At 38.2% G+C, this 18773-nt stretch overlaps 1 long non-coding RNA gene across 1 annotated transcript in view, besides 2 other annotated features; it reads right to left on the bottom strand.

Moving 5' to 3' along the window:
* Positions 1-18773, bottom strand: part of LOC101928437 (uncharacterized) — a 477888-nt gene that overhangs the window by 104134 nt on the left and 354981 nt on the right. The gene's annotated exons all lie outside the window — the stretch shown is intronic.
* Positions 12358-12859: an enhancer, noted in NCBI's record as "H3K27ac hESC enhancer chrX:112646849-112647350 (GRCh37/hg19 assembly coordinates)". NCBI's record gives its function as "activates a minimal SCP1, AML or CMV promoter by ChIP-STARR-seq in primed H9 embryonic stem cells {active_cell/tissue: H9 hESC(primed)}" and the evidence as "EXISTENCE:reporter gene assay evidence [ECO:0000049][PMID:30033119]".
* Positions 14554-15355: an enhancer, noted in NCBI's record as "OCT4-NANOG-H3K27ac hESC enhancer chrX:112644353-112645154 (GRCh37/hg19 assembly coordinates)". NCBI's record gives its function as "activates a minimal SCP1, AML or CMV promoter by ChIP-STARR-seq in naive H9 embryonic stem cells {active_cell/tissue: H9 hESC(naive)}" and the evidence as "EXISTENCE:reporter gene assay evidence [ECO:0000049][PMID:30033119]".

The raw sequence follows: 18773 nt of genomic DNA, 5'->3' as shown, positions 1-18773 counted from the left end.
CTCAGGATTACCAGGCAGAAACTCTTGTTTTCTTTTCTCACGTTCTTTCAAATGAACAGAGTCTCTCTATCTCTCTGTTCTGAGCCACCTGGACTGAAAGTAGTGTGACACAAGTACCCCTGTGGCCACTACCACTAGGAATGCGCTGGGTCAGACCTGAAGCTAGTGTAGCACTGAGTGTCTCCCAAGGCCTGCTGTAACCATTCCCTGGCTATGGCCGACGTTCGCTCAAATCCTGGGGCTCTATAAACAGCAGGTGGCAAAGCAGCCAGGCAGGCCTATGTCCTTCCCTTCAGGGTGGTGAGTTCTCCTAGGCCCTGGGCATGTCCAGAGGTGCTGTCCAGAGCCATGGACTATAGTAAAAAAATCCTTAGAAGTCTACCTTGTATTCTTTTGCACTGCAGCTGAGCTGGCACTTGAGTCAAAAAATGTAGAGTACTTCTTACTCTTCTCTCCATTTTCCAGAGGCAGAGGTGCCTCACCCCATGGCCACCACTACCAGAGGTCCATGAAGAGTACTGCCAGACCATCACTGATATTCCTTTAAGGCCCAAGGGCTCTTCAGTCATTTTGTGGTGAATGCTGCCTGGCCTGGGATCCATCCTTCAGGGCAGTGGGCTTTCCTTTGGCCCAGGGAAGGTCCAGAAATGCTGTCCAAATCATGGAATTGGGGCTCTACCCCTCTGTGCCTGCTTGGTGCCCTACCCCTCTGTGGCCAAGCTGGTACCTAAGATGCAAGACAAAACCTTTTTTGCTTTTCCCTCCAATTTTCTCAAATGGAAGGAGTATCACCCCCTAGCCATCACAGCTGGGAATGTGCTGAGTCTCACCTGAAGCCAGCAAGTCTCAGAGTCTCACCCAAGGCCCTCAACACCTGGATATTGCTGCTGGTTATTCATGGCCCAAGGTCTCTTCAGTTAGCAGGTGATGAATATTGCTAGGACTAGGTTCTTTTCTTCAAGGCAATGGGTTCCCTTCTGGCCTAAGGGTGTCTAGAAATGTTATCTTGGAGCTAGGACCTGGAAATAGGGCCTCATAACTCTGACTAGTGCCCTATTTTGCTGTGGCTGAGCAGTATCCAAGATGCAAGGCAAAGTCCTCCCACTCTTTCCTCCCTCTCCTCAAGTAGAGGGAAGGGAACTCTTTTTTAGCCATGAGCTGTGAAGCCTGGGGTTAGAGGAGAAGTCATGCCAGCACTCCCTTCACCACCCGAGCTAGTGTCCCAGTAGGTAATGTGCCCCTCCCCTCCAGTCCACTGTCTCTGGACCCATTTCAGCACTAGAACTTACCTAGGAGCTGCAGTCCTTGTGGTCTAGACTGCCTTTCAAGTGTATTTTGTGCCCCTGAGCCCTTTAGTCCTCAGTGGCAAGGCTTGTGAAAACTCAAGTTTGAACTGCTGGGATCAGTGATTTACCTCCGGCTAGGTCTGGTTTAAATGCTCCCTCTGTGGGCAGGCATCAGCTGAGTTTGATCTGGTTTTGTTTTCTGTTATACTAGGGCAGCACTGAGTTCATTGCCTCAAAAATGATGTGATCTCCCTCTCCACAACACACAAAAACACCATCTGCACCACGCTACTGCTGCCAGGGCATATAGGGGAGGGGTGGCATCTTTGATTCAATACTTTGTTTTGCTACCTCTTCCATGCCACTTTTAGTGATATGAAGTTTAAACCAGGTACTGTGAGTGTTCACCTGGCTTTAGTACGATTCTAAATCCTCTGAATAGACTGGGTCAATAGGGACTTCCCAATCACTAGAGTGATTTGCACAGGCAAATCTACTTGACAGTTATGTCACAGAACAGACTCAAATGTCATATGGATATTTGGACTATATGATTTTCAAGCTCTTAATTCCCACCCTCAGATTCTAGAGTGGGATTTTTGTTCTTATGAGGGTGCCTTTATGTATCGATACCTGTTGAATTGGTTTCCCTGTGGGGGGACAATTGGTGGAAACTTCCATTCTGCCATCTTGCCTCATTTACTCATTTATTTCCAATGACCCTAATCGGTAAATCTTGCATTAGAGTGTTCATTTTGCAGAATGGAAAACTGATATCAGGAAAAAAAAATTGACAATTTGTGAAGGTCACATAGCCAGTATATAACAAAAGTAAGATTAGAACCTAAGCACTTCAACATCAGAGCTAGTCATTACTATACACTACTGCTTCCTGATTTTATTAAGAAGTGAAACGCACCGGGCGCAGTGGCTCACACCTGTAATCCCAGCACTTTGGGAGGCTGAGGTGGGTGGATCACGAGGTCAGGAGATCCAGACCATGGTAAACCCCTTCTCTACTAAAAATACAAAAAATTAGCCTGGCACGGTGGCGGGCGCCTGTAGTCCCAGCTACTCGGGAGGCTGAGGCAGGAGAATGGTGTGAACCCGGGAGGCGGAGCTTGCAGTGAGCCAAGATGGCACCACTGCACTCCAGCCTGGGCGACAGAGCCAGACTCCGTTTCAAAAAAAAAAAGAAGTGAAATGCTTGGCCGGGCGCGGTGGCTTGCACCTGTAATCCCAGCACTTTGGGAGGCTGAGGCAGGTGGATCACAAGGTCAGGAGTTCGAGACCAACCTGGCCAATATGGTGAAACCCCGTCTCTCTTAAAAATACAAAAATTAGCCAGGTGTGATGGCGGGCACCTGTAGTCCCAGCAACTCGGGAGGCTGAGGCAGGAGAATTGCTTGAACCTGGGAGGCAGAGGTTGCAGTGAGCCGAGATCACGCCACTGCACTCCAGCCTGGTAACAGGGCGAGACTCCGTCTCAAAAAAAAAAAAAAGGAAAAAAAAGTGAAATGCTTATGAACATTCAAATGCTTATGAACATTCAAACTTCCCTATAGCAAGACAGCCAAGCCTATTTGTTTACATAAATACATACTCTACCTCTGTAGCTTTTTTTATATGAGCATATTACAAATACTGAAAGAGAACCTTTGCATAGCTTAGGAATAGTTGGAAATAAGAAAATAATAATTCAACAAATACCAGCTAAATTTTAACCTCCTGGAATTTAAATATAGACAGGAATGGCAACATTAACAACTTCATTGCCAATAAGAATAATGACGTCCACTAGTAATCATTTCCTAAAGTTTATAGTCAATTTCAAAAACAGCTTTCCTGGAAGTTGCACCAAGTAGAGGTATTGCTATATGAATATGCAACTTCTCATCCAATGTGAGTGGTTAGTATGATCTAGGTCTTAAAGGTGCCATTATATGTAATATATACATACATATAATATCTTAATTTGTTCATCACTACATTTCTTGACATTTCTTATTTTCAAGCTTCAACAAGAAATATCTCTATCAGGCATCCTCACAATGTCTGACATTTTCCTAACAATTCTCTACCTTCATCTCATCACTAATCATAATTAATGCTGTGCCCCTGTCACAGGCAGCTGTGAGAGAAGCAGAATGTTAAAATCTAATCAATCAGTTTCCAGCTGGTCTAAACTTGCTTACAAGATTCAGATAAAATTTATGGATTATACTAATCAAAAGCAATCTGAACAGTTTATTATAAAGTCTAAACAAAAATAAAAGAAGATCTAAGTCAATGTAAATCAACCAAAAACTCTAAAATGAAATGAAAAGTCTTTCCTAGTGAACATATAAAATGTTTGTTTGAAAGTCCCAGGGGGTTAAGTGAACTAAGCATGTATGAAATGTAGGGTCTCAAAAATCCCAGAAGGCCGGAAATGTAAGTAAGTGCCATAGAAGCCTAAAAGTGTCCAAACCTTTCATTAAATTTAACCTTTCGTTAAATTTAACCTTTCCGACTTTTTTTCTTGACTTTGCCAACATAAAGATGAGAGCAAATTGTGACATATTTTATGTAAAATTTTAGAACTAAATAAAGACTTCTGAAATAAGGTACCCCACCAATTTAATGGCAGTTATTGCCTTGGTTGAGTTACATAGTTCAGTGGCAGAACTAGAACTAGGCTCCCTGACATTCAGTTTAGTACCCATCTGATGATACTCTTCTATGTTTCATATGCATTATGGGTTAAGTTTTTTAAATGTATAAAACTAGCATATTTAGGAAGAGAGTGCTTCCTTCTCCAAAGCCCAGTTACTGGTTGTAAATTAGGCAATTGAAAAGCATTTTCAGACCACAATGATAATACTGTTCCCATGGAGTTTGACCACCAGGGAGTGACTGAAAGAAAGGAAATCTGGGACATATCATTTGGGAAGGACAATGGCTCCATTCATAACCAACTATGACTTAGCTTTCCAAAAGTAATGATAAATGTCATTGGACATTTATAGCAAGTAAAAGCAGAAGCTTCTGGAAAAGGCTTTGAAGATCATCTAATCGAACTCCTTTATTTTGGGGATATGGAACACAGAGAAGAAAGAGAATAAAACTTGTTCTAATTGGTAATGGTGATAATTTGATTTCAAGGGTATCTAGCCCATATCTTTCTGAGAAGTAATGTTTTCAGTCTTAAAATATCAACGAGTATGTGGTTGTTGATATTCCAGAGAAGTTCTCTGAGATGTCAGAATCTTCAACAATCAATTATTCATTTAACAAAACATAACTTAAAAAAATTAAGGTTATGCTATGGTTTGGATATGGTGTGTTTGTCCCCACCAAATTTCATGTTGAAATTTCGTACCCAGTGTGGTGGTGTTGAGAAGCAGGGATAAGTGGGAGGTGTTAGGGTAATGGGAGTGAATCCCACATGAATGGTTTGGTGCCATTCTCTTGGTAGTAACTGAGTTTTTGCTCTCACAAGATGGGGTTGGTTCTTATGGGAATGAAATAGTTCTTTTGAGAGTGGGTTGTTATAAAGCCAGGAAACATCCGGGTTTGGGTCCTCTTCACATGTGCCTGCTTCTCCTTTGACCTTTTCTGCCATGTTTTGAGCAGCAAAAAGGCTCTCACCAGAAGCCAAGCAGACATGGGTGCCATGCCTCTTGTACAGCCTACAGAACTGTGAGCTAAATAAACCTCTTTATTAGTTACCCAGCCTCAACTATTCCTTTATAACAATATAAAATGGACTAAGGCAACTTGTATTAATGTGATTAAACTATGCCAAATTATACTATTTTATAAGTCTTGTAAACCCTGAATGCATGAGTTTACACAAATGCATTTTGAAAGAACTATGTTGTATACCTGGTCAAATAAGGTACATAACCTGGTGCTTTCAACTTTTCCAAAGCTGTATTTATTACAATAATGAAATGGTTTAATCTCACCTTGAGCTTATGCTTACTGGAGAAGCAGAAGCAAACAAACATTTTAAGTGATGGTTTCAAATACGCTATTAATATAAGGCCTGTTATTAAATTAAAAGGATAAATGAGATGAATTGAGATGATTCACACCACTTTTAACATAGGGCTAAGCACTTTGAAAAGTTTCAGTTCCCATGGTAAATAAATAAATACATTTTAAAATAAATGTCTCTAAATACATACATTTCCAAATTTATCTAAAATAAATACATTTTTAAAAAGTCAGGCATTAGTGAGAATGATATTATTAACATGACAGCTGCTTATTTTCAATTCATTGATCAAACATTAAAAGAGAGAATTGAGTATGTATGTGTTTTCTTAGAATGATGAAGATAAGTTTATGTTTTGTTTAATATAAAATAATTTTTAAATGTGGTCATCTTTAAAGTGTTAGATTCTACCAGTTATATCACATATACTTTGATTACTAGAGTAAAAACAGAAAAGTAGGTACCGAGCAAAGCCATGTATATAAACTGCTTTGAGACATAGGGAGCCATGCCCTGTATCAAATAATGGTGATAAACTGAGAAAAAGGAGGTCTAAAGTGTATCTATGGGAACTAACAACAGAGATCATTTATAATCTAGTGTTTTAGAGTGTGGGATATTAAGTTGTTCCAAATATTAGCTGTTTGTTTTTCATTACAGTACCTTCTATGTCTCTTCCCTATAGCGTGGGGAATTAAATATTCTCACGTCATAGGTGTGAGCAGAAGCATATACCTCCTCCTTTTCTTCTACCACAGGAATAACCATATTCCAGATAGGTGTTTCACTTAGCTTAATTCTTGGAATGAAGAGGACATGATGCAGAATCTCAGCTGTCATGCAACCAACATGTAATGTGCAAAAAAAAAAAAAGAAAAGAAAAACATGTTTGTTGTAGGCAAGCCCTAAAATTTCAGAATTGTTTGTTACTGCAGCATAACCTAGTCTAACCAATTGTTACACTTTGTAAAAGCAGTTATAATGGAATGATATTGATGGGACAAGATTAGAACAGGTTGAAGAAGAAGGAATACTTTATTGTAGCATCAATTTTAAATAAGATTAACCCAAAACGTTCACATTGCAAGTACATGGAAATGCCAAATAAATTCTTATTTTACATACATGATTGGGCTTAAAGGAAACAGAAAGGACCAAGGAACAACAATAACAATGCCAAAACAAAATGAATTGATAATCAGAATCTAAGCACATAAGTAACACAGCAGCCACCCTTGGATGGTGAGGGTGGGGAGGAGGAGGAATGTGGGTTACAATACCAATAGAGTTTGAAGGGGTTTTTTGTTTTGTTTTGTTTTGTTTGAGACAGAGTCTTGCTCTGTCGCCAGGCTGGAGTGCAGTGGTGCAATCTCGGCTCACTGCAACCTCCGCCTCCTGAGTTCAAGTGATTCTTCCACCTCAGCCTCCTGAGTAGTTGGAACTACAGGTGTGCACCACCACACCCAGCTAATTTTTGTATTTTTAGTAGAGACAGGGTTTCACCATGTTGGCCAGGATGGTCTCGAGCTCTCAACCTCATGATCCACCTGCCTCAGCCTCCCAAAGTGATGGGATTACAGGCATGAGCCACGGCACCTGGCCAGAGTTTGAGGGTTTTAATGGCATCATATGACAAAAAAACAGGGTTTGTTCATTCAAAAGTAATAAATTAGAACAGAGACCTCTGTATGAACTGAGAACAGAGTTTCTTAACCAGAGTGTAGTGGGACTTACCTTAGTGTACCTTAGAAATGTTTTAGTTTTCTAAGTAAGTGCAACATGATGTAAAAAGTTTAGGAGGTTCTGATTGTAAATATCAAAGGTCATAACCTCAGTGAAAGGCTGAAATAGGGAAAATCCACTCAATATCAGAAGAAAACAACAAGGAATCTTGTTGGTCTTTGAGAGTTTGAGAACATGGGCCTACATATGTGGTTTGGAGGTCAAAATATATATTATATACATGACACAAGAATTCCTAAGTTGGAATATTAGTACAACCTATGCCCCATGATAACTATAGGACACTTGTAAGACACACAAACAAAAACACTCTGGGATCACACTCTCAATTCATTTAACAAAGGGTTAGCACAGAAAACTACCTACTAGATATGAGATTAGAATGAAAAAGTATATAACGATTAAGAAAATCATCCATCATGAAGAGTCACGTGACATAACAAACAGCAGAATCAGACTCTCAAGAACAATATTATAGAAATTACAAAACAGTATTCTTTAAAGAATTAAGAAAATATAAATAAAAATGTAATAAAAAAGACACCACTATGTAAAAGTGGGACATCTTTAAATAAATTAAATTTTCTAAAATGAAAAAGTACACAATGATCAGCGCACAAATAAAGATAGATTGTGCAAGCAACAAATTAGACACAGAGAATTCAGGGAATGGAAAACATTCCATTCTTAGGTAATTGCCAAAATTCACTACAGAGATAAGTTAATAGAATGTATTAAAAAGGCATTAAGTGACACCAAGAAATGAATTATTAGATCTGGTGTTCATCTTATAGGATTTCAAGAAGAAATGAAGAATGGGAAAAAATGATATTTAGAAGAAATAATAGTGAGATATTTCCAGAATTCAATAAGATAGGTATGCTCATATTCAGGGGTCATAAAAGTCCAAGAAATAAAGAAGAGGAAGGGAAGGGAAGGAAAGAGGAGGGGAGGGGAGGGAAGGGAGAGAGAGAGAGAGAGAAAAGAAAGTTAGTTATAGGAGAGTAAAGAGTTATAGGAAAGCTATATGTTAGAGGCAAGTCATAACTAAAATGCAAAGCACCAAAGACAGAGATTTAAAAAGCAACCAGAAAGAAAAAGAATGAAAGTTGGACTGACAGTATACTTCTCAATAGCACAAGCAGAACTCAGTCGTTCATTCAACAACTGTGTATAGATTTCCTACTATGTGCCCAGCACTATTCTTGGTTTTTAGGAATGTAGGAGTCAACAAAACAAAGTACAGTTCTGCAAGAATATTACATGCTAGTGGGAAAAAGATAGACAGTAAAGAATTAAGAAATACAAAAGATGCTGGTGGTAATAAGGCCTAATTTAGGAGACTGAAAACACTGTGGGGTGTGGTGGAAACATGCTGTTTAAATAAAGTGGTTAGGGAAGCTCTCACTGATAAGGTGAAATTTGAACAGAGACCTGAAAAACTAAGGCAATGGGGCTGATGGTGATAAATGAATATTAATATATAATTCTAGACTCATTTAAATTATCAGTCTAGTGTAAGAATTAAATGCAATCCCAGTAAAAGTCTGGAAGGGTTTATCACCAATAATTTCTTTCTTTCTTACTAAAAAAAATTGTTAAAATGTATACTTCAGAAAGGCAGAAAGTGTCCTTTGCCCACTTTTTAATGGGATTACTTGTTTTTTTTTTCTTGCTGATTTGAGTTCCTTGTAGATTCTGGATACTATTCCTTTGTTGGATGCATAGTTTGTGAACACTTTCTCCCACTCCGTGTGTTGTGCATTTACTCTGCTGATTATTCCTTTTGCTGTGTATAAGCTTTTTATAAGGAAGACATATAAGAAACTTCACACATAAACATGTCTAAATAAGTATTCCCTATATAAAACAATAATTTGAAAAATAATAGATACAAATATGTAGGTATTAAATAAGGTAGAGAAAAAAGTATTTAAGAATAACGTGTAAGAAGAGAGAGATTATTGTCATATATTTTATTTTGGGGAGGAAACTTAGAGGTAGTTGAGTGCCCTTGATATCACTATCAGAAACAGAATGTATAACTTCCAAATCAGTAGGAAACACAAGGAAAGAGGAAGAACATGATTAATACAAGAGAGAGCAGGGAAAGAGAGGCAAAAAAAAAAAATACGAGGTCTATAGGAAGATATAGAACTGAATAAAAATTTATCGGTAATCAAGTCATATATAAATGGACCTAATTCACCAGTTAACAGATTGGCAGATCGGTCTAAAAAGAATCTAGCTTAATGCTGTCCGTAAGAGACACCCTGAAACATAGGTGAGAGCAAGATTGAAAGAAATGTAAAAGATAAGCCCAGTAAATAGTAAACAAATAATATAGTGATGTGTCTGTATTAATATCAGACCAAATAAATAAACCTTAGAGGAGGTGGCATTATTAGAATTTACATTAGGCATACTGTAAATTATTATTTATTGTTATTATTTTATTTCAATAGTTTTGGGGGATACAGGTGGTTTTTGGTTACATGAATGAGTTCTTTAGTGGAGACTTCTGAGATCTTAGTGTACCCATCACCCGAGCAGTGTACACTGTACCCAATTTGTAGTCTTTCCCTCACCCCACTACTAGCTTCCCCCATCAAGTTCCCAAAGTCTATTATATCACTCTTATGCCTTTGCATCCTCAGAGTTTAGCCACCACTTAAGTGAAGACATATGATATTTGGCTTTCCATTCCTGAGTTACTTCATTTAGAATAATGGCCTCCAGCTCCATCCAAGTTCCTCCAAAGACATTATTTCATTCCTTTATATTGCTGAATAGTATTCTATGGTGTCTACATATCACATTTTCTTTATCCACTCATTGGTCAGTGGGCACTTAACTTAGGGTGGTTCCATGTTTTTGCAATTGTAAATTGTGCTGCTATAAACATGTGTGTGCATATGTCTTTCTTTTTCATATAATGACTTCTTTTCCTTTGTGTAGATACCAAGTAGTCAGATTGCTGGATCAAATGGTAGATCTGCTTTTAGTTATTTAAGGCATTTCCATAGTGGTTGTACTGGTTTACAACCACTTTGCATGGCCATGAGAGCCCACCCCTTGCATCAGTGTTCCCTGAATGTGAAACATGGAGTCAAAGGGAATCATTTTGGAGCTTTAATATTTAATGACTTCCTTGTTGGATTTCAGACTTGTATGGGGCCTGTAGCCCCTTTGCTTTGGACAGTTTCTCCCATTTGGAATAGAGTATTTATCCAAGGCCTGTACCTCCATTGTATCTTGGAAGTAACTAGTACAACCCAGTGGTTGTACTAGTAAAACTAGTTTACCAGTTTAGTTACTAGTGTTCCCTTTTCACCACATCCACGCCAAGATCTATTTTTTGACTTTTTAATTATGGCCATTCTTGGAGGAGTAAGATGATATTTTATTGTGATTTTAATTTGCATTTTCCTGATGATTAGTGATATTGAGCATTTTTTCATAAATTTGTTGGCTGTTTCGATATCTTCTTTAGAGAATTGTCTATTCATGTCCTTTGCCCACTTTTTGATGGGATTGTTCTTTTTCTTGCTGATTTGAGTTCCTTGTAGATACTGGATACCAGTCTTTTGTTAGATGCATAGTTTGTGAATACTTCCTTCCACTCTGTGGGTTGTCTGTTTACTCTGCTGATTCTTCCTTTTGCTGTGCAGAAGCTTTTTATAATAGTTTAATTAGGTTCCATTTATTTATTTTTGTTTTGTTACATTTGCTGTTGGGGTCTTAGTCATGAATTCTTTGCCTAAGCCAGTGTCCCAGTGTCCAGAAGAGCTTTTCTGATGTTAACTTCTATAATTTTTATGGTTTCGGGTCTTATATTCAAGCCTTTTATCCATCTTGAGTTGATTGTTGCATAAGGTGAGAGATGAGGATCCAGTTTCATTCTTCTATATGCGGCTTGCCAGTTTTCTCAGCACCATTTATTGAAGAGGGTGTCCTTTCCCTAATTTATGTGTTTGTATTCTTGGAACACTATGAATTATTAAAGATAAAAGTTTTAGAAGCTACAGTAACATTGAGTTCATACATATCCAATAGTATAGTCCAAAATATGAAGCAAAAGTTAACAAGATAGGAGAAATTTATATATGTACCACATTGAAAGAAAAGTTAACATTAACACACATTTAGTAAGCATATAGAATATTAGAAAAACATACATAAAATATTTCCTTGTCCGTACATAGAATTTGGCAAATTTAATTTATGAAGACACATTCTTTCAAGCACATAGGGGACACTTGTGAAAATTCAACATGTGTGGGATGCAAAAGCATATCCTAATATAGTATAAAGCATATCCCATATAGTATAAAGTAGTATATGATACAGACCATACTCTCTGTGCCCCATAGAATATAATTATAAACCAAGGTATATTAGTCCATTCTCACACTTCTATAAAGAAGTGCCGGAGACTGGGTAATTTATAAAGAAAAGAGGTTCAATTGACACAGTGCTGCATGGCTGGGGAGGCCTCAGGAAACTTACAATCATGGCAGAAGGTGAAGGGGAAGCAAGAACGTTCTTTGCATGGCAGCAGGTGAGAGAAGTACAAGCAGGGGAAATGCCAGACCCTTATGAAACCATCAAATCTTGTGAGAACTCATTCACTGTCATGAGAGCAGCCTGGGGGAAACCTTCCCCATGATATAATCATCCCACCCTTGACACTTACTTGGGGATTATGGTGATTACAATTTGAGATGAGATTTTGATGGAGACAGAGAGCCAAAGCATATCACTCTGCCCCAGTCCCTCCCAAATGTCATGTCCTTTATACATTTCAAAACCAATAATGCTTTCCCAACAGCCCCCCAATGTCTTAACTCATTTCAGCATTAACCCAAAGTCCAAGTCCAAAGTCTCATCTGAGACAAGGCAAGTCTCTTTCACCTAGAAGCCTGTAAGATCAAAAGCTACTTAGTTATATCCAAGATACAATGGAGGTAGAGGCATTGGATAAATATTCTATTCCAAATGGGAGAAACTGGTCAAAACAAAGGGGCTATAGGCCCCATGCAAGTCCAAAATCCAACAAGGAAGTCATTAAATCTTAAAGCTCCGAAATGATTCCCTTTGACTCCATGTTTCACATTCAGGGAACACTGACACAAGGGGTGGGCTCCCATGGCCTTAAGAAGCTCCTTCATGGGCTGGCAGTGCCTGCAGCTTTCCCAGGCAAGGGTGCAAGCTGTCGGTGGATCTACCATTCTATGGTCTGGAGAATGGTGGCCTTCCTCTCACAGCTCCACTAGGCAGTGCCCCAGTAGGGACTCTGTGTGGGGGCCCCAACCTCATATTTCCCTTTTGCACTGCACTAGCAGAGATTCTCCATGAGGACTCTGCCCCTGTAGAAGATTTCTGCCTGGACATACAGGCATGTCCATACATCCTTTGAAATCTAGGCAGACATTCCCAAACCTCAATTCTTGACTTCTGTGCACCCGCAGGCTGAACACCACATGGAAGCCACCAAGGCTAGGGGCTTGCACCCTCTGAAGCAATGGCCTGAGCTGTACCTTGGCCCCTTTTAGCCACCACTGGTGTTGAAGTGGCTGAGATGCAAGTGCCATGTCCTGAGGCTGCACAGAACAGCAGGGTCCCTGGGCCTGGCCCAGGAAAACATTTTTCCTCCTAAGCCTCTGGGCCTGTGATGGGAGGGGCTGCCATCAAGATTTTTGATGTGCCCTGGAGACATTTTCCCCATTAACATTTGGCTCCTTGTTACTTATGCAAATTTCTGCAGCTGGCTTAAATTTCTCCCCAGAAAACAGGTTTTTCTTATCTATTGCATTGTCAGGCTGCAAATTTTCCAGTTTTATGCACTACTTCCCTTTTAAATGTAAGTTCCAATTTCAAACCATCTCTTTGTGAATGCATAAAACTGAATGTTTTCAGAATAATCCAGGTCAGGTTTTGAATGCTTTGTTTCTTAGAAACTTCTTCCACCGGATATCCTAAATCATCTCTCTCAAGTTCAAAGTTCCACAGATCTCTAGGGCAGGAGCAAAATGCCACCAGTCTCTTTGCTAAAGCATAGCAAGTGTGACCTTTGCTCCAGTTACCAATAAGTTCCTCATCTTCATGTGAGACCACCTCAGCCTGGACTTCATTGTCCACATTACTATCAGCATTTTGGTCAAAACTATTCAACAACTTTCTGGGAAGTTCCAAACTTTCCCACATCTTCCTCTCTTCTTCTGAGCTCTCCAAACTGTTTCAACCTCTGACTGTTTGTTACACAGTTCCAAAGTTGCTTCCACATTTTCAAGTATCTTTATAGCAGTGCCCCACTAACTCTGTACCAATTAACTGTATTAGTCCTTTCTCACACTGCTATAAATAACTGCCTGAAACTGGGTAATTTATAAAGAAAAGAGGTTTAATTGACTCACAGTTCTGCATGGCTGGGGAAGCCTCAGGAAACTTACAATCATGCAGAAGGCAAAGTGGAAGCAAGAACCTTATTCACATGGCAGCAGGAGAGAGACGTGTGAGCAGAGGAAATGCCAGAGGCTTAAAAAACCGTCAGATGAGATAGTGAGAACTCACTCACTATCACAAGAACAGCATGGGGGCAACAGCCCACATGCTGCAATCACCTCCCACCAGGTCCCGCCCTCGACACATGGGGATTATGGTGATTACAATTTGAGATGAGACTTGAGTGGGGACACACAGCCAAACCATATCGCAAGGGCAAAAAGATACCTAAAAAATTAAGCTTGCCTATTTGGAAGTTTTAGAAACTACTTCTAAACATCTCCAGGACCCAAAAATATGTGATAATAGATATTAGAAATCTTTATAACTGAATTAAAATGGAAAGAACATATACAACAATTCTTTGACCCATGAAATGCTTAGAGGTATATCAGTTAATTTTCAAACATTTGAGATTTTCTGGATTTCATATTGTTATAAATTTCTAATGTAATTCCATCATGTTAAACTACATTACATTCTGTATGGTGTCAAACCTTAAAAATGTATTACAACTTGCTTAATAGCCAGTTTTCACTCGCGTCCATGTGAAAAGACCACCAAACAGGCTTTGTGTGAGCAACGTGGCTGTTTATTTCACCTGGGTGCAGGCGGGCTGAGTCCGAAAAGAGAGTCAGTGAAGGGAGATAGGGGTGGGGCTGTTTTATAAGATTTGGGTAGGTAAAGGAAAATTACAGTCAAAGGGAGGTTGTTCTCTGGCAGGCAGGAGTGGTGGGTCACAAGGTGCTCAGTAGGAGAGCTTTTGAGCCAGGATGAGCCAGGAGAAGGAATTTCACAAGACAATGTCATCAGTTAAGGCAAGGACCGGCCATTTTCACTTCTTTTGTGGTGGAATGTCATCAGTTAAGGCAGAGCAGGGCATTTTCACTTCTTTTGTGATTCTTCAGTTACTTCAGGCCATCTGGGCATATACGTGCAAGTCACCGGGGATGCGATGGCTTAGCTTGGGCTCGGAGGCCTGACACCAGTCATATTGTCTATATTGGGGAACATGCCATACATACTTGTAAAGAATGTGTCTTTCAGTTTTAGAGTGTAATGTATAAATATTAATTAGGTCAAGATAGTTTATAGTGTTTTTAGTTCTTCCATGACTTTATTCACCTTTGGACTACTCATGTCAACTAAAGAGAGGTTTTTAAATATCCAACAAAGTTTGAAGATTTGTCTATGTCTCCTTTAATTTTGTCATTTTTTTTTTTTCTCTGGGGATAGGGTCTTGCTCTGTTGCCTGGGCCACAGTGCACTGGCACAATCGACTCACCACAGCCTCAAATTCCTGGATTCAAGAGATCCTCCTGCCTCAGCCTCCTGAGTAGCTGGGACTACAGGTGCATGCCACCACACACCAACTAATAATTTTGTCAATTGTGCCTTGTATATTTGGAGGCTGTTTTTAGAAACATACACATTTATAATGCTTATTTTATGCAAACTGTAGGCCTTTTCCTCTGTGGCTCTCCATTTTCTTGGGTTTCCCTCCTTGCTTTCTTTTTGCTGCATTTGAAGCCATCCTCACAGGGTAAACAATAATTCTGGACAGAAGTATAGTTACAATTAAGCATTAATCAGGCTGCACTTTAATCTACTTCCTTATAACCAAAAGTCACTAGATAGATACTGAATATTTGCACCTACATTGTTCCTATAGACAGGATTTCTGACATTAGAATCACAATACTTTTGTTTAAGAATTTAAATTATTTTTCAGATTCCAAATATCAGTGAAACAGCTGATGCCAACCAGCTAGAAGACTCTTACAAAGGAACAGAATTGGAATAATTAATATAGTTTCTTCATCTCCCTGTCCCGTGACTTCACCTGCACTCTTGACCAATCAACGATATCCACATTTGCACCCATTTCAAAACCTTTAAGAGCCCTAGCCCCAAACTCCTTGGGGAGATTGATTTGAGGTTCCCTCCCATCTCCTTGTTCTGTGACCCTATGGTTAAATCTTTTTCTATGCTATAACCCAGTGTCTCAGCGTATTGACTTGCCACATGCATCAGTCAATGAACCTATTATGGTTACATGTTTACCCCAAATTCTGTCTTTAGATTCTTCAATTTAGTCAAAATTTTTCCTTTTAGACAGACAAAAAAGGCAGAAAAAATAATGTGCTGTCACAGTGCTCACATCAAAATTCCTTGACAAAATTAAGTTTTTATTTCTCACTCACATGACCATATAATCAATTTAGACAGTTGTCCTCAAGGAGATGACTCTGGATCTCAGCTAATTCCACCCTGTGGTTTCATCACCTTGAAATGTTAACATAGTAATTTCAATGTTCATTCAGCCTGTAGACAAAGTAAGGTATTCCAAAAATGTATTTGATTTTTGTCCTAGGTCCCTCACATAGAACTCCTAAAATCCTTGGAATTTCCTGAAGGATAAGAGGGTCTATTGTTATTCATAGAAGTTCCTTTTGATTATACCTAAGTTAATGCTAATGAGCTGACTCATGCTGGGGAGCACTAGATGGCATCAGGATGGCAGCTGACTGCCAGAGGAAAAAAAACCATGTGATATTAAAAGGCTGAAACTTTCAGCTCCACCCTCAACCTTTGAGTATGGGAGAGGGACTAGGAAAACTCTGAATAATGAGGCACAAAGAGTTTTCTCGTTGGCGAACATATCAATGTAATGGGAGGGCACACACCTAGACTCCACAGAAACAGAAGCTCCTATGTTCTGGACTCTTCTGTATCTCATCCTATGATCTCTTCACTGAGTCATTTGTTTGTATTCTTTATAATAAGCCAGTAATTGTAAACGTAGCACTTTCCTGAGTTCTGTGAGTCATTCTAGCAAATTATCAAACAACATGAAAGGGAGTTGTAGGACCTAATGAATTTTTAGCCAAGTCAGACAGAAGTGCAGGTAACCTGGGAACCTGGAACGTGCACCTGGAGTCTGAAGTGGAAACAGTCTTGTGGGACCCCTTAACGTGTGGGATCTACACTAACTCTGGGTAGCTAGTGTCAGAGTTGAAAGACTTTCCCCTTAACATGGGTGATCTGCACTAACTCTGGTTATTGAGTGTCAAAATTAAATTGAATTGTAGAACAGCCAGTTGGTGTCAGAAAATTGCTATTGGAAAGCACACAAAAGGAAAGTGTATAGTGGACCCTGTATCTGATAATTAACCTACTTGGACCAAAAGTTAAACTCATCGATTCTTCTGACATTCCACTGGAGGAAACTATGCATATGAGTCACAGGTTAATGTTGTCCTTAGTTGGACATGTCAGCAAGTCCACACTATGAGAGTTCAAATATTTGGTGGAAAGTTAGCTTTCTCTGTTACAGTGTCTAACTCAAGAAGTTAGAGAAAGAACAACAGAGTGAAACTAAAGTTGGTAAAAGTAAAGATAAAGATAAATATTGCAGGTACTTTTAAAATATTAAACAAAAGAGACGACAGAATTAACAAAACTAAAAGCTAATCCTTTGAAAAGATAATAAAATAGACAAAGTGTTGTCAAAATTTAGTGTACAAATACTAGACATAAAAAGAACAGGCATATATAGATTTCAGATTACATATAATAGAGAATTATGAAAACCTTTATGTTACTAAATTTGAAAATTTAGATTGAATGGACATTTCCTAGAAAATATAAATTTCAAAAATAGTTTTAATTTTTTTCAAATTCCAACTATTCAAGTAAGCATTAGAGAAACTGAATCAATAAATTAAAAATCTGCCCAGAAATATTTCTCCACTATTACCAGACATATTAATAGGTGTGTTATATATTTAAATAAGAGAAAGTATCAATCTTCTACAAAAGTTTGAAGTATAGACAAAATAGCAAAGCATCAAATAAACTTTTGTAAGGACAATATATCGTTTACATCAAAATCTAACAAGGGTAGTAAGAGAAAAGCACATTTAAGGCCAAGCACTTTTATAAACATAGATGCAATAATAGTTCTAAATAAGATATTAGCTGATCAGCAGTGTATTTAAAAAGTGGTTTATGGTTAAACTGAATTTCTACTGGACATTCAAGAATAGTTTACCATTAGAAAATAAACTACCTGTAATTACTACATCAACAGATTAAAGGAGAATATTATATTACAGTTCCAATAGATTCAAATAATTGATTAAATTAAACATCTTTTCATGATTAAAATAACTCACCAAACCACAGATTAAGGAAACTTTTTAACCCAATAAAGTGTATCAATAAGGATCTCACAACAAACATGATATCTAATTGTTAAACATTAAAAAACACCCTTAGTTTAAAATATGTTTACTATCACTACTTCTATTTACCACTGAAATGGAAGTACTAGAAAGTTCAATAATAAAAGAAAAATTAAACTTATAAGGACCAAAAGGAAAAAGAAAACTAACATCATCCACTGTCAGTCTATATACAGTTATATAATTATTTATATAGGAAATAAAGAAAAATTGGAATGCAAACTATCACAAATATTAAAAGAGTTAAACAGAATTCCTGTGCACAAAATCAATTTAAAAAGAAAGAACGGTTACAATCCAACACATCGATAACACCAAATGCTGACAAAGATATGAAGCAACAACTCTCATTCATTGCTGATGGGAATCCAAATTGGTACAGTCACTTTAGAAAACCGTTTATCACTTTCTTATAAAATTAAACATACCCTTGCCATATGATCATGAGTTGAAAACATGTCCACACAAAAATGTCAGTGTTTATAGCAGATTTATCCATAATCGCCAAAACTAGAAGCAAGCAAGTTGTCCTTCAGTAGATGAATGGATAAACATACTGTTTTACATTTATACAACGAAATGTTACATACTAATAAAAAGAGATGAGCCATCAAGCCATAAAAAGACATACATGAATCTTAAATGAATATTGCTACATGAAAGAAACCAGCTGAAAAAGATATTAACTGGATGATTCCAATTATATGACATACTGGGAAACGCAAAATTATAGAGACAGTAAAAACAACAGTGGTTGCCAGCTCAGGGAAGGTGTGGAAAGGTGTTGTATAGTAGGAGCATGGGGAATTTTTCAAGGTAGTAAAATTATTCTGCATGATACTGTTATGGTCAACACATGACAATATGCATTTATCAAAACTTATTAAGCTTTATAGAACAGAGTCAACCTCAATGTATACAAATGTTGAAAATTATGTATGAGGTCTAGGAGATACCAGGATAGAATGCAGAATGTGACAAAACAATCTTATTGTATTCCAAATGTATTAA

This window comes from Homo sapiens, chromosome X (genome assembly GCF_000001405.40).
Source record: "Homo sapiens chromosome X, GRCh38.p14 Primary Assembly".
Taxonomy (NCBI): domain Eukaryota; kingdom Metazoa; phylum Chordata; class Mammalia; order Primates; family Hominidae; genus Homo; species Homo sapiens.
Note: the sequence above shows the minus strand (reverse complement) of the source record. Positions and strands in the feature narration are given on the sequence as shown.